Source organism: Homo sapiens, chromosome 15, assembly GCF_000001405.40.
Source record: "Homo sapiens chromosome 15, GRCh38.p14 Primary Assembly".
In the NCBI taxonomy this organism is placed as follows: domain Eukaryota; kingdom Metazoa; phylum Chordata; class Mammalia; order Primates; family Hominidae; genus Homo; species Homo sapiens.
In genome coordinates this window covers 66,475,937-66,489,283 of record NC_000015.10, presented here as the reverse complement: position 1 = coordinate 66,489,283, position 13,347 = coordinate 66,475,937, and the positions used below count along the sequence as shown (strand labels likewise).

At 48.6% G+C, this 13,347-nt stretch overlaps 1 protein-coding gene across 4 annotated transcripts in view, besides 2 other annotated features; it reads right to left on the bottom strand.

The window, feature by feature from the left end:
- MAP2K1 (mitogen-activated protein kinase kinase 1) overlaps positions 1-13,347 on the bottom strand; it is a 104,633-nt gene that overhangs the window by 2,261 nt on the left and 89,025 nt on the right. For all 4 annotated transcript variants that reach the window (NM_002755.4, XM_017022411.3, XM_011521783.4 and 1 more), the window contains 4 exons: positions 7,405-7,529; positions 4,093-4,294; positions 1,992-2,056; positions 8-69 (listed from right to left, as the gene is read on the bottom strand). In NM_002755.4, coding sequence (NP_002746.1) covers positions 8-69; positions 1,992-2,056; positions 4,093-4,294; positions 7,405-7,529 — 454 coding nt within the window. The remainder of the gene's footprint in view (positions 1-7; positions 70-1,991; positions 2,057-4,092; positions 4,295-7,404; positions 7,530-13,347) is intronic.
- Positions 12,018-12,541: an enhancer, noted in NCBI's record as "H3K27ac-H3K4me1 hESC enhancer chr15:66769081-66769604 (GRCh37/hg19 assembly coordinates)". NCBI's record gives its function as "activates a minimal SCP1, AML or CMV promoter by ChIP-STARR-seq in naive H9 embryonic stem cells {active_cell/tissue: H9 hESC(naive)}" and the evidence as "EXISTENCE:reporter gene assay evidence [ECO:0000049][PMID:30033119]".
- Positions 12,542-13,065: an enhancer, noted in NCBI's record as "H3K27ac-H3K4me1 hESC enhancer chr15:66768557-66769080 (GRCh37/hg19 assembly coordinates)". NCBI's record gives its function as "activates a minimal SCP1, AML or CMV promoter by ChIP-STARR-seq in naive H9 embryonic stem cells {active_cell/tissue: H9 hESC(naive)}" and the evidence as "EXISTENCE:reporter gene assay evidence [ECO:0000049][PMID:30033119]".

Below are 13,347 nucleotides of genomic sequence, written 5' to 3'. Positions count from 1 at the left end.
AACTTACCATTTATTCACAAAATCTTGAAATTCCAGACTGAACACTCCACTGGGCAGTTTTGGAGGAGGCTGCAAACACATGTTGAGATAAGAAAAATGCCTGGCTCCTTGCTCCAGCCATCTCCTCTCCCCATCCCACCCCTCCCACCAGCCAGTGCTACTTTTTTTTAAAGTCTTCTCTGCAGTCCAAAGGCAGTACTACTCTCATCCAGTCAAGGAAAGGCACAGGTAGAAGGCCAGTGCTGCCTGTTGGGTAACCATGTTGGAACCACTGATCTCAAATAGCACATTTAGAATTGGGACCAAGTCAAGTCCACTCACTTGTCGGGTGATTTTGAACTAATCACTATTCCTCTATGAGCCTCAGTTTACTCTTCTATGACATGAAGAGGTTGGGCCTAATGATCTCAGGGACCCTTTCAAGCTCTGACACTCTACAATGGTAAATCTTGGAGTGCGGCATGGGAACGTAACCAGCAATTTACTGGCAGCAACAGCTAGGGGCACGTGCAAACCACCAGGCATAGCCCAGGTCTGACAGCACCTGCAGAAGCAAACCGGTTTTTAAAAATCCCTTTTCTGAGCCCTAGAGAAGCAGTGAAAAGTTAATAAAACATTAACTGACAGAGGGCTGGATCTGGAAGAATGTTACCTGTACATTCCAGAAATGAGGCTGTTTTCAGATTTTCCCATGGTGATCATGCAGCACTATACAGTACAAGGCTCTGGAGCACTGGGCTCATGGCGTTCCATGCAGTCCAGGAAATGTGGGCCCACTTATGTACCTGGGCTGGGAGCTGTGTGTACCCATGCTGACCCACAGACATAATGTCCATGATGTCACTGCTCTGATGTACAGCCCAAAATCTCGTTTTTAATTTGGGACTAAAAATGAGACACTGATCCCCACCACAAAGCCCAACCTAGTGCTCTTCCTTTGAGGGCCATGTCAGTCTGATCTTAGGTGAGGACTAGAACTCAGCTCTTAGAACAGTGACCCAGAGCAAGCCCCATTCTGCAGACTGTCCCCACTGCTGAGGGAATCAAGGGACCATTCAAGGAAGAGAGGAGACCAGCAGCTTGGCCTCCAGAGGCAGCATCCATTCCTTCTGAACAGGAAAGAGCTAGGCAGCAGAGGGGCTGTGTGCCAGCAGAGGCTGCAGTAGAACAACTGCCATGCAGCCAAGCCTCCTAGGAGGTAAGAATGGGAGGTGGGAGGTGGCAAGGAAGAAAGAGCACTGGGTGGGAAGGACCTGGGCTACTTTTCATCTCGGAGGCTCAATTTCCTCACCTGTTTGAAGAGGAACCAATTTGGCCTACCTCAGCAATGCTTGGGAGAATTGCATGGGAAATTAATGTGAAAATTTGGAAGAAAGCAGTGCACACTAGGAGACGCAATGGCGTATCTAACCTCAGATATCCCTTCCCTTAATATGACTACCACCCAGAACCACCTAGCCTAGGTCCCCAGCAGTAGAGGATGGATGGCTTTTTTTCTGACTCCTACAAATGCAACATGCTCTGCCTCCCTCAAATCCTTAAGCAGCGACGAACTAATCCTGAAACTGCTTTTCTACAGCCCATGGTGCTTAGTATAAAGCTGTGCATACAGTAAAGAGAGGTTAAATTAAACTCCCTAGTAGACTGAACCTGTGACAGCGATGTGTTTTTTTGTTTTTTTGTTTTGTTTTGTTTTTCCCAGAGTCAACCTCCGCCTCCCAGGTTCAAGCAATTCTCATGCCTCAGCCTCCCGAGTAGCTGGGACTACAGACGTGCACCACCATGCCCAGCTAATTTTTGTATTTTTAGTAGAGATGGGGTTTTGCCTTGTTGGCCAGGCTGGTCTCGAACTCCTCACCTCGTGTGATCCACCCGCCTCAGCCTCCCAAACTGCTGGGATTACAGGCGTGAACCACTGCACCCGGCCACCTGGGTGTTTTCTTAAGATGAGCAAGTAAATTCCAAGGTGAAGGAAACCAGGCAGTACTTACCTCGTTGACTATGTAATCCAACAACTCAAAAATTGCCATGGGAGGTCGGCTGTCCATTCCGTATGCTACAAATTTTATAAAAAGAAAAAATACTTCTCAGAAACAGATTACTTGTTAATATGAGGCAAGGGGTTGGGCATGGATCCCTGGGACCAGAACAGGGTCATGGACAATAAACATTAAACAGCCACAGATAAGGCTTGAACACAGAGGGGACCAGCAAAGGCCAGGGTACAAGTCTGGGCTCTGCCACATCTTAAGTTCGTAACCTTTGGCAAATCAGTTCACTGCTGAGCCAAACAAAGTTCTGAGTTTTGTAAAGCAGAGACATAATAATTATGTCTGTCCTTTCCCCCTTCCTTCTATTGAGAGAGGCACAAATGAGATAGCAACTAAATAACTAAAGGACTTAGTTTTAATTCTCCATGAAGTTGCGTTTCTTCCTTTTGTCTCCTAGAGTCACTGGCGAGCCTCAGAGGCCACAGCCACCAGCCCCTCCAATGACCTGCCATCAGCTACCTCTAGCCCCCTCTGCTTTCCCCTTTATACAAGCTCTCTCTCATGTGGACCTCATGGAGGTACAGGGCAGGTATCCCTGGCCAGACAGGAGCTACATAAAAAACAGTTGGCTAGGTCAGGCTATTCCCTGAGTACCAGGTTTACTTCCCAGTATTCACATTCAGAGAGGCAGGTGGTACTGCACAGTGTTTATCATCTTGGGAGTCAGACTTGGCTACTTGCAAGCCTATGTGGCCTTGACAAGTGCACTGTGCCTCAGTTTCCTCATCTTTAAAATTCAGATTATAGTCGTGATCACAAATGAAATGCTATTAAAATTATATAATGCTAGGCAAATCCGTGGACACAGAAAGTAGATTAGTGGTTGTCAGTGGATCAGGCAGGGGGGAGTGGGGGATGGGGTTTCTTGCTGGGGTAATGAAAATGTTCCAGAATAAGACAGTGGTGATGGCTGCACAACATGGAACAATACACTAAAAACCACTGAACTACATGCTTTAAAATGTGAATTTTGTCTTATGTGAATTCTATATCTCAATAAAAAATAAATCTACCAAAAGTCATGATTAAAAAATTAGAATGCAGTGGCTCATGCCTATAATCCCACCACTTTGGGAGGCCAAGGCAGGAGGATCACTTGAGCCCAGGAGTTCCAGACCAGCCTAGTCAACATAGTGAGACCTCATCTATACAAAAAAATTAAAAAAATTAGTCAGGCATGGTGGCGCATGCCTGTGGTCTCAGCTACTCAGGAGGCTGAGGCAGGAGGATCACTTGAGCCCAAGAGGTCAAGGCTGCAGTAAGCCATGATGGCGCCACTGTACTCCACCCTGGGTGACAGAGCAAGACCCAGTATCAAAAACAAAACAAAACAAAAAAAACCCACAAATTAGAAGCCAGTCATGGTGGATCATGCCTGTAATCTCAGCATTTTGGGAGGCTGAGGCGGGAGGATTGCTTGAGCCCAAAAGTTCAAGACTAACCTGAGCAACATAAGGAGACTATATCTCTACAAAATAAACAACAACCTAGCTGAGCATGGTGGCATGTGACTGTGGTCCCAGCTACTCAGGACGCTGAGGTAGGAAGATCACTTGGGCCTGGGAGGTTGAGGCTGCAGTGAGCTGTGATCATGCCATTGCACTCCAGCCTGGGTGACAGAGTGAGCCCCTTCCCTCCCAACCCCCGCAAATAAATTATAACCTGTAGTCCCAGCTACTCTGGAGGCTGAGGGAGGAAGACTGCTTGAGCCCAGGAGTTGAAGACTGTGACTAGCCACTGCACTGGGCGACATAGCAAGACCCTTAATAATAAAAATAATAAATACAAAAGGTTAGATAATGTATAAAGTCCTAAGTGCAGTACCTAGAACATAGTACGTACTCAACAAATGGTAGGAAGTTGTTGGTAGTAACAACACCCACCTGGAGACCCTTGCTGCTTCCCCTGGCCCTAGCCTGGCATCCAGGGACAGAGAATCAGTCTTGGCAGAATGTACAGAGAATCAGCCCTCCAGAAACCCCTGAAAGTAAGGGACCCTCCCCTCCAACAGTCCAAGATGGGGACACACCAGGCTACTCACAGCTAAGGGGCCTCCCGGGGGTCCTTGGCCTGGGTGGGGTCTCAGCCGCATCTCCTTCCACCTGGCACCCAAACATCAGCTCCAGCTCCTTGGCATCTGGAGGAGGGATGGGATACCTCCCAACCGCCATCTCTACCAGAGACAGTCCCATGCTCCAGATGTCTGACTGCACAGAGTAATGAGTCCCCTGGAGTCTTTCTGGCTGCAGGAGAGACAGACAGTGATAATCACCTAACCTAACTTGGACCCCTGGGTCTGCTAATGCATTTTCTCTTCTGTCCCTTCTCAATAGTTCATATCCTGTTTCAAGAGCTCCACTAACCTCTTGAATTTGGCCTCCTGCCTACCCCCAACACTGTGTTTACCAAATCCTAGCTGGCTTCTGTGGCTTTAACCCCTCATCCCTGCTCTATTTCTCCTATAATCTGGCCTAAATTGACAGACCACATGTAATCAGCTGTGCCCTGGCTGCCACTACAGCCTGTGGTTCCAGCTTTACCCAGCTTGGCCACAGTCTTGCACACGCAGGGCAGCCTGTCCGAAGCCCAGCATGAGAGGCTCATCTTGTCACTGAATCTGAAACATGAAGCTTGTGGAATGCGGGTTGGGAGTGAGGTGGTGCCGTGGATACATAGAACAAAAGATCTGGGGTCAGTGGGCCTGAGACTTAAATCCCAATTCCGGGACTTACAAGCTAAAAGATCCTGAATATCAGCCTCATCTATAAAATGGGGCTGCTGCTGGGCCGGGACGCAGTGGCTCACACCTGTAATCCCAGCACTTTGGGAGGCTGAGGCAGGCGGATCACATGAGATCAGGAGTTCGAGACCAGCCTGGCCAACATAGTGAAACCCCATCTCTACTAAAAATACAAAAATTAGCTGGACATGGTGGTGCATGCCTGTAATCCCAGCTACTTGGGAGGCTGAGGCAGGAGAATCACTTGAACCCGGGAGGCAGAGGTTGCAGTGAGCCAAGATCGCACCACTGCACTCCAGCCTGGGCAAGAAGAGCGAAAACTCCATGTCGGAAGAAAAAAAGGTGGGGGGGGGTGGTGGCTGATGATGATGAAAATGACAGTAACAATGATATAAGAAAACTCTACTTAGGATTACTAAGAAGATCAAATCAAATGAAAATGTACAGCCAGGCGCGGTGGCTCATGCCTGTAACCCCAGCACTTTGGGAGGCCGAGGTGGGTGGATCACAAGGTCAGGAGATCGAGACCATCCTGGCTAACACGGTGAAACCCCGTCTCTACTAAAAATACAAAAAAATTAGCCGGGCGTGGTGGCACACGCCTGTAGTTCCAGCTACTCGGGAGGATGAGGCAGGAGAATGGAGTGAACCTGGGAGGCAGGGCTTGCAGTAAGCCGAGATTGCACCACTGCACTCCAGCCTGGGTGACACAGTGAGACTCCGTCTCAAAAAAAAAAAAAAAAAGAAAATGTATGTCAAATGTTGTAAAATGCAATACAAATATTGGTTGATATTGGTGGGAAAAGCCAAAGAGAAAAAAAGTATACAGTGCTATACAAAAGCATTATTTTTAATGAGCATTATTTGAAATAGCACATGTATTTCAAGAACCCTACCGAAAAAATCTTTATTCTGCCCATAGTATATTCACGTAGACATTAACTTCTCCAGTAGCATTTTTCACTAACTCCAACACTGGACTATTTCGTAACTGACCATATAACCACAAAAACCCCAACCATTAAACCCTTGATTAGTAACTCCCAGGGCCTGTTAATGGATTTTGAACTTGAGAGTTGGCAGTCAAATGGCCCAGGATGCCAGCTGCTCAGTTATTAGACATTTAGGGAAGAAGCAATGAGGAGATGACAGAGAAAGAGAGTTCCACTGTGGGTCACTGGAGGGGAGGGGTGGGGATGTGGGTCAGTGCCAGGTGAGTGATGTTGACAGTGGCTGGAGTCACAGTGGGGGGTAGGTGCCAGCAAGAAGGAATGAGGATGTGTTCACACTGGGATCTGGGCACAGGTGCCAAATCCTCCCCAAGAGGCAAATGAGGGTGTGCTGTGCAAAGGGCGTCTGCCTGGCAAGGGGGCAGCTAGCTTTCAATCCTGGCTCAGCAAGGTTAAGTAGGCAGGTTGCTTAACCTCCCTGAATCTAGACTTCCTCACCTCTAAAATGGGAACAATAATCTTTATTTCCTGGGACAACCACATGGATCAAATGAGACCTTCCAGGGACATGACATGTGCTTTGACAGAGAACACATAAAATGCTTTGTACAAGTTAAGATCTGAGCCTCTGCGCCTGTCCCCCTCTCCACGCGGGCCTGCACTCCCCGCCACTTCTGTAAAGACTGCCTACTCACTCCAACGCTCCTCCACTTTGCCGCACTTCAGCACTGGCCCAGACTCACGTTTCCACCTTTCCAAATCATTCTCAGAAATGTTTTATCCATGTACCCTCCCACTCAGCCAACTAAACATCTACCCACTTGCCAAGCATTCCCTGAACACCTACCACATGCCAGGCCCCATGCCAGGCACTAGGGACAAGAGAGACACCTTGTCCCTGTCCCCAAGGAACCGGTGGTATGGAGGAGGGAAGAAAACACGCTGGTGCTGCCATAGTGTGAGGATGGCCCCACACAATGCTCTGGTGACAGTGTGAGCCAGCAGAGCCAGGAGCAGGAGGAAATACCCTCAACACAGGGTGTTGGCTGAAGTGGAGCAGAGACTCTGGCGAGGGGTCCAGGTATGCTGCAGTTAGAAGGAGGGGTACATGTCTGACAGACATAGTGAGGAGGGAGAAAAGAGGCTGGACAATTCTGAACAGACTCTCAGGAGTTGGGAGCTACAAGATACTGAAAGGACGGGCTGCTGAGAAGGCAGGTTAAGAGCCAATGCTCAGGTTTCTACCTTGGGAAACCAGGGAGATGATGCTGTCTATTTACTGCTAAGAGAAAAGGAGAAGGTGAGGTAGTTTGGGGTGGATTATATCTGAGCATCCTGGGTTTGTGGATCTGAAGACTATCATGTAGAGATGCCCAGAGGGGAGCTGGAGCTCACAATCCTTCAGAAAGAAAGCCACACTCTGGAGCTGGACAGTCCTTTCAGTGAGTCAAGGCCCCAATATCCCAGTTATGCTCCAAGGCCTAAGAAAGACCAAGACCATCTTCCCATTCAACTTCATCTCCTCAGGGCAGAGCACTGTGCCTCCTCCCTCACTTCTTGTCCCCTACCCAGCACAAGACTCTGGCTCCACAGGAAAGGCACCCACTGGGCTCCTCTCCCTGACCGTACAAGAAGCTCAAGCAATGGAAACTTCTGTTCATACCGACATGTAGGACCTTGTGCCCACGAAGGAGTTGGCCATGGAGTCGATGAGCTGCCCGCTGACCCCAAAGTCACAGAGCTTGATCTCCCCACGGGAGTTGACTAGGATGTTGGAGGGCTTGACATCTGCAGGGAAGAGAAAATAGAAAAGGAGGGAACTGACACAGGTAGATTGGGGAAGAGAAGGATCAGCATTCCACACAGACCAGCCCTGACCACGAGTCCCAGGACCACACCCCCGTCCGCCATCAGAGGCAGCCCTTGGCTTGCAAACACTGTACACCAAGGCCCTTTGTTCTGAGTTCAAGAAGCAACTGTCAGGAGATGAAATGAGCAGCTGCTGTAGAAGTAGAACAGAAAGACAGTCGATTTCCACTCTCTAAGAATGCAGACTTGGCCAGATGATCCACAGGAAGGAGTCCGTTATCATGAACAGTCAGGATTTCAAAGTCTGTTGCTTCAACCACCCCTACTGGTAAGATATAGTATCTATGGCTGGATCATGAAGGAGGCAGAAAAAAACAAGTAATAAGACCTATCTGCTTGCTGAGGCTACACAGGCTAGAAGGGGACAGGGTTTGGCGGGAATTCCCATTCTAGACTTCTGCACCAGGCATGGAGCATGTGGGTCTTTTTCTTACAAATATGTGTGGCAGGGTGGGAGCTGAGTCATGATTCCATTCCATTCCACTGGAGTCACTCACCTAACAGCCTACACAGGTACATCTACCCTGCCAGTCAAGGGGAACCCCTTGCTACCTGGAGCTGGAATGTGAGAGGCCTTAAAGCTGCTCCTCAGAGTCAAAACGATGCCCCCATCCCCCTTCCTTGCACTCTTATTATCACCCCATCCCACCCATCCGGTCACTGTCACAAATACCAGTACATTGGCCCTTAGTTTGCAGAGACCTAAATTTCCAAACATTTTTTCTTCCGCTGTATCCTCTGATTCATACAACTGTCCTGTAATGTGCATAGACCAGGGTCAATTATCCTCATTTATAGGTGAGCAAACCAAGGCTGGGACTTGGTGAAGGCCCCTGGAGCAGGGCTTTGTGGAGCAGACATCAGCAAACAATGACACTCACTTTGAGGGCAGACCATATCTAGGAAACATGCTAAACCATGACATCCCAAACCTATATGGTGTCTATATTAATAGTCATAATATAGACACCATATAGGACATCTAGAAAATCACAGAAAAAACCCAAACCTCCTATAATACAACCCAGCAGAGCCACTAATAACGTTTCATTATTTTTCTCTTCGATACTGTTATATGAATGCATTTATTATTATTTTTTTTTAGACACAGAGTCTCACTACATTGCCCAGGCTGAGTTGAACTCCTGGGCTGAAGCAACACACCTGCTTCAGCCTCCCAAGTAGCTGGGACTATAGGCGTGAGTCACCATGGCTGGCTATTTATTCTTAAACAGATTCAAACAGGTCTATTTAAGTATCTTTCCAAGGACAAATTGAAAAACAAAAGCCGGGCGATGCCTCACACCTATAATCCCAGCACTTTGGGAGGCCAAGGCAGGAAGATCACCTGAGGTCAGGAGTTTGAGACCAGCCTGACCAACATGGCGTAACTCCCATCTCTACTAAAAATACAAAAATTAGCCAGGAGTGGTGGTGGGCGCCTGTAATCCCATCTACTTGGGAGGCTGAGGCAGGGGAATCACTTGAACCTGGGAGGAGGAGGTTGTGGTGAGCCGACATCATGCCATTGCACTCCAGCCTGGGTGACAGAGCCAGACTCCATCTCAAAAAATATATTTATTAAATAAATAAATAAAAATAAAAAATTAGCGTGGTGGCGCATGCTTGTAATCCCAGCTACTCAGGAGGCTGAGGCAGGAGAATCACTTGAACCTGGGAGGCAGAGGTTGCAGTGAGCTGAGACCACGCCATTGCACTCCAGTCTGGGCAACAAGAGTGAAACTCTGCCTCAAAAAAATAAATAAAAATAAAAATAATAAAAAAAAATCATGACCCTCTAATATCCCAGTGCCCCAACTCCACTTGGCCCCTCTTCATCTTCAGCCTGGGGGTAATCACCATTCCAGGCCAGCTCTAGCCTCTCTCTGCCCCAATCAGCTGCAGGAGGGCAGGACGTTGGCTGTCTGCCTCACCACTCTAAGCCCTGAGCCCAAACTGTATCTGACAGAGGGCAGGTGCTCCAAAAGCCCTTGTTGAATGAATGGTTCTAAATGCACCATGGATACATGCATGCACACACTGCATCACTGGTGTAGTCCTCCTAAGACCCAGCCCTCATCATGTCACTCCCCTACCCCACAGTGTGCAGACCCAAGTCAGGCTCTTCAGTAAAGGAACACAGGATACAAATCTTTGCAAACCCCTCTGCGACCCTCGTCTCCTACACATAGACTTTCAGAAGAGAGGTGCCAAAAGCAGCCTTAGAGGGCACCTAGTTCCTCCCCTTCATGATGAAAACAAAAAGTCTAAGGCCCAGCAGGATATGGTGGCTCACGCCTGTAATCCCAGCACTTTGGGAGGCCTAGGTGGGCAGATCACCAGAGGTCAGGAGTTCAAGACCAGCCTGGCCAACATGGTGAAACCTTCTCTGTAGTGAAGATACAAAAATTAGCCAGGTGTGGTGGCACACGCCTGTAATCCCCAGCTACTCAGAAGGCTGAGGCAGGAGAATCGTTTGAACCCGGGAAGCAGAGGTTGCAGTGAGCCAAGATCACACCACTGCACCCCAGCCTGGGTGACAGAGTGAGACTCCTCTGTCTCCAAAAAAAAAAAAAGAAGGCTAAGGCCCAAGAGATCCAGCAACTTGTTCAAAGTCACACAGCAAAAACTGGGTAAAGCTGAAAGCAGATCCCAGGCCCTCTGACACTTACACCTGTCCTCTTCTACCCACCCTGCTGCCATGCTCTAACGGTCATCACCTACTGTCCACTGAACACCTGCTACCTTACCTGTGGGCTCTGTGTGGGCAGTCAAGAAACTGACCAAGTCCCCCACTGTCATGAAGCTTAAATTTTATTGTGAGGAGACAGACAAATCAATGAACAAATATGTAACATTAGGTGGTCTTAAGTGGCACAAAGAAAAATATAAAACCCAGCCAGGCGCAGTGGCTCACGTCTGTAACCCCAGCACTTTGGGAGGCTGAGGTAGGCAGATCATTTGAGGTCAGCATGGTGAAACCCTGTCTTTACTAAAAATACAAAAATTGGCTGGGCATGGTAGCACATCACCTGTAATCCCAGCTACTAGGGAGGCTGAGGCAGGAGAATTGCTTGAACCCGGGAGGTAGAAGTTGCAATGAGCCGAGATCGTGCCACTGCACTCCAGCCTGGGCAAAGAGTGACACTCTTGTCTCAAAAAAAAAATATATATATATATACCTCTATATATACACCTGTATATATATATATATACCTGTATATATATATACCTGTGTGTATATATATATACCTGTGTGTATATATATATATACACACACATATCTGTGTATATATATTTAACATATATGTGTGTATATATATTTAACATATATGTGTGTATATATAACATATATATATACTATATATATACAGGTATATATAGTATATATATATATGTTAAATATATATACACAGATTTTTATATATATATATAATAAAACCCTGTGAGGACAGAGAGAGTAAGGGGGTACTGTTGTGACAGGGTGGCAAGGAACGGCCCTGTGAGGAGAGGACATTTGAGCAACGATGTGAACAGAGAGAGGGAGCGAGCCATGCAGCCTCTCAGAGAACCATGGGGAGATTCTGAACTTCGGGAGGAGAGGGGCGAGCTCTGTTCTTTCCCTGGGCCTAGTGTTAGGACAGAGCCCACAAACACTTCAGCCGAGGCATGAGTCCAGCAGTTGCTTGTTGGAGGTGTACCTCCTCATCCCACCATGCCCATGGCCCCTCAGAGGACCGGTGTTGGGTACCTGGCCCCTGGAGGTCAGGTGTTCAGGATTTGGAAAATGATGCTGAAAATGGAACGAGACTGAGAAGGGTAAGGGGTGTGACAGCGCCTGCTGGGGCGGCACACCAAGGGGCTCCAACACAAGCCCTCTTCCACTCCTCCCACCCAGTGCCATTGCCTCTCATCCATGCCAGGCCACACGGCACCAGGCTCCCTCACCCGGCCCACACTCTCCCCATGGGCTGTTTAGGCATGATCTGTTAAGCCTGTTTTAGAGTAAAAGAGCAGCACTGGCTAGTGAGACAGAAGCCCTGTGTCAAATCCTGACCCTGCCACTTACTCTACATGCAGCCGTGAGCAAGTCACTTGACTTTTCTGGGCCATGGTTTGCCATGATTGAAACAGTCACAATGGCGGCTCTCATACCATCACAAGTTACAGACCAGGATTGATGTAATAAGGCATGGCATATAAGCAGCACACCATGTTATAGGAATAGACAATGATTGCTTCACAGGCTGCCCTCCAAGATCGGCAGTTCACAGAACCAGACACCTCTCCTTCCCCACAAGAACAGTCTCCTCCACCCAGTCCAGCAGCTTCTTCCTCTGCTGGCTCAGACACCTCTCTTCAGACTACAGCTGCTGCTCAGGCATGGCTGTGCTGCCTCTAGCTGTCCTTGTATCTGATCTCTATTCACATGGCAAGCAAGCCTCCTTTTTTCAAACTTACATAACACAGCTTGCCACCATCCCTGGCTGTCAGCTCCAGCTTCTCCCACCCGCTCCAGGGAAAAACACTGCCTAGGAGGCAGCAGAGATGGAAGGGGTTGGAGAGGAGGAGAAGGGAAATTCTGAGGGGCTTTTCACTGCTAGACCACATTGGTCCTGGGAGCCAGATCCCGGAGGGCCTCACAAGAAGCCACCTGGAAACCTGGGCACATGAGATCACTGAACCCCAGAGCATGCTGCTGGAGCCGCCAGGCTAGGACATCCCTCTTGCCCCTGCTCCTGCCACACCCAAGTCTAGCTCTTCTCTGGGGACAGAAAAGAGGTACATGATGGCAGACAAGTCCAGAGAGAATTCATTTCTTGATCTTCCTCAGCACCCCACACTTGCTTCCCACAATAGCCAGGCCCTTCACACACTGTTCCTGTCTCCAGCATCTTCTCCCTCCCCCCGCCTACACAGAAACCAGCACTCCTCCAGCGGGACAGCCCCTGCACAGAGCCTGCCATGGCTGCCCTCTGCCTCAGAGCACAGTCCCCAGCCCCTCTGCCTGCCTTTCCATGCCCTCCACTGTTTCTTCCTTTCCTCTCCAACTTCACACCACAACACGTCTCCACATCCACTTCTTCCTGGTTGGGGCTGGCCTGCCTCTCTAACTGCCCCTGTGTAAGAGTCTCGCCTTCTCTTGTGCTGGTCCTTGCATCTAAAAAGTCTTCCTTTCAAATCACCCTGTCACCTCTACTCCTAGATGCCTAGTTCTTCTGAATCCCCTTCCCAACTTGGGATAATGCCCTGCTCCTGGAGTCCTGGGAGGATTAACTGGGCTTCCTCTCACATTCTCCTAGCAGAGCCCTCAAACATTCAAATCACAGGCCCAGTCCTTCTCTACTTCCTGAGGCCACCTCTGGGCCTTGCGTTCTCTTTCTGATCCTTTGATAACTGAAAGGTGATGCTGAGAGGGTCCCCAGCAGCTGGCTGGCCAGGCTACATTCTGGAGGAAGCATCAACCACCCAGTAGGCTCCCAGGCTCATAAGCTTCCCTAGGAATCCCACAGGAGGCTGAGATCTAATAACCCCAATTCTGCTCAGCTTCTGTGACAATGAGTATGGGTAACCCCTCCTTCCTCAAAAATGAACAAGGAGGTTTTATGAAAAACTCAGAAAGTATGTTCTTCTCCGATATTTTCTGTCCCAGGAATAACACTATTCAAAGCCTCCTGATTTTTCCCTCAAGAGCACACATTTTGAAGTTTAACTATTAAGTATTTTCTACCCCTCT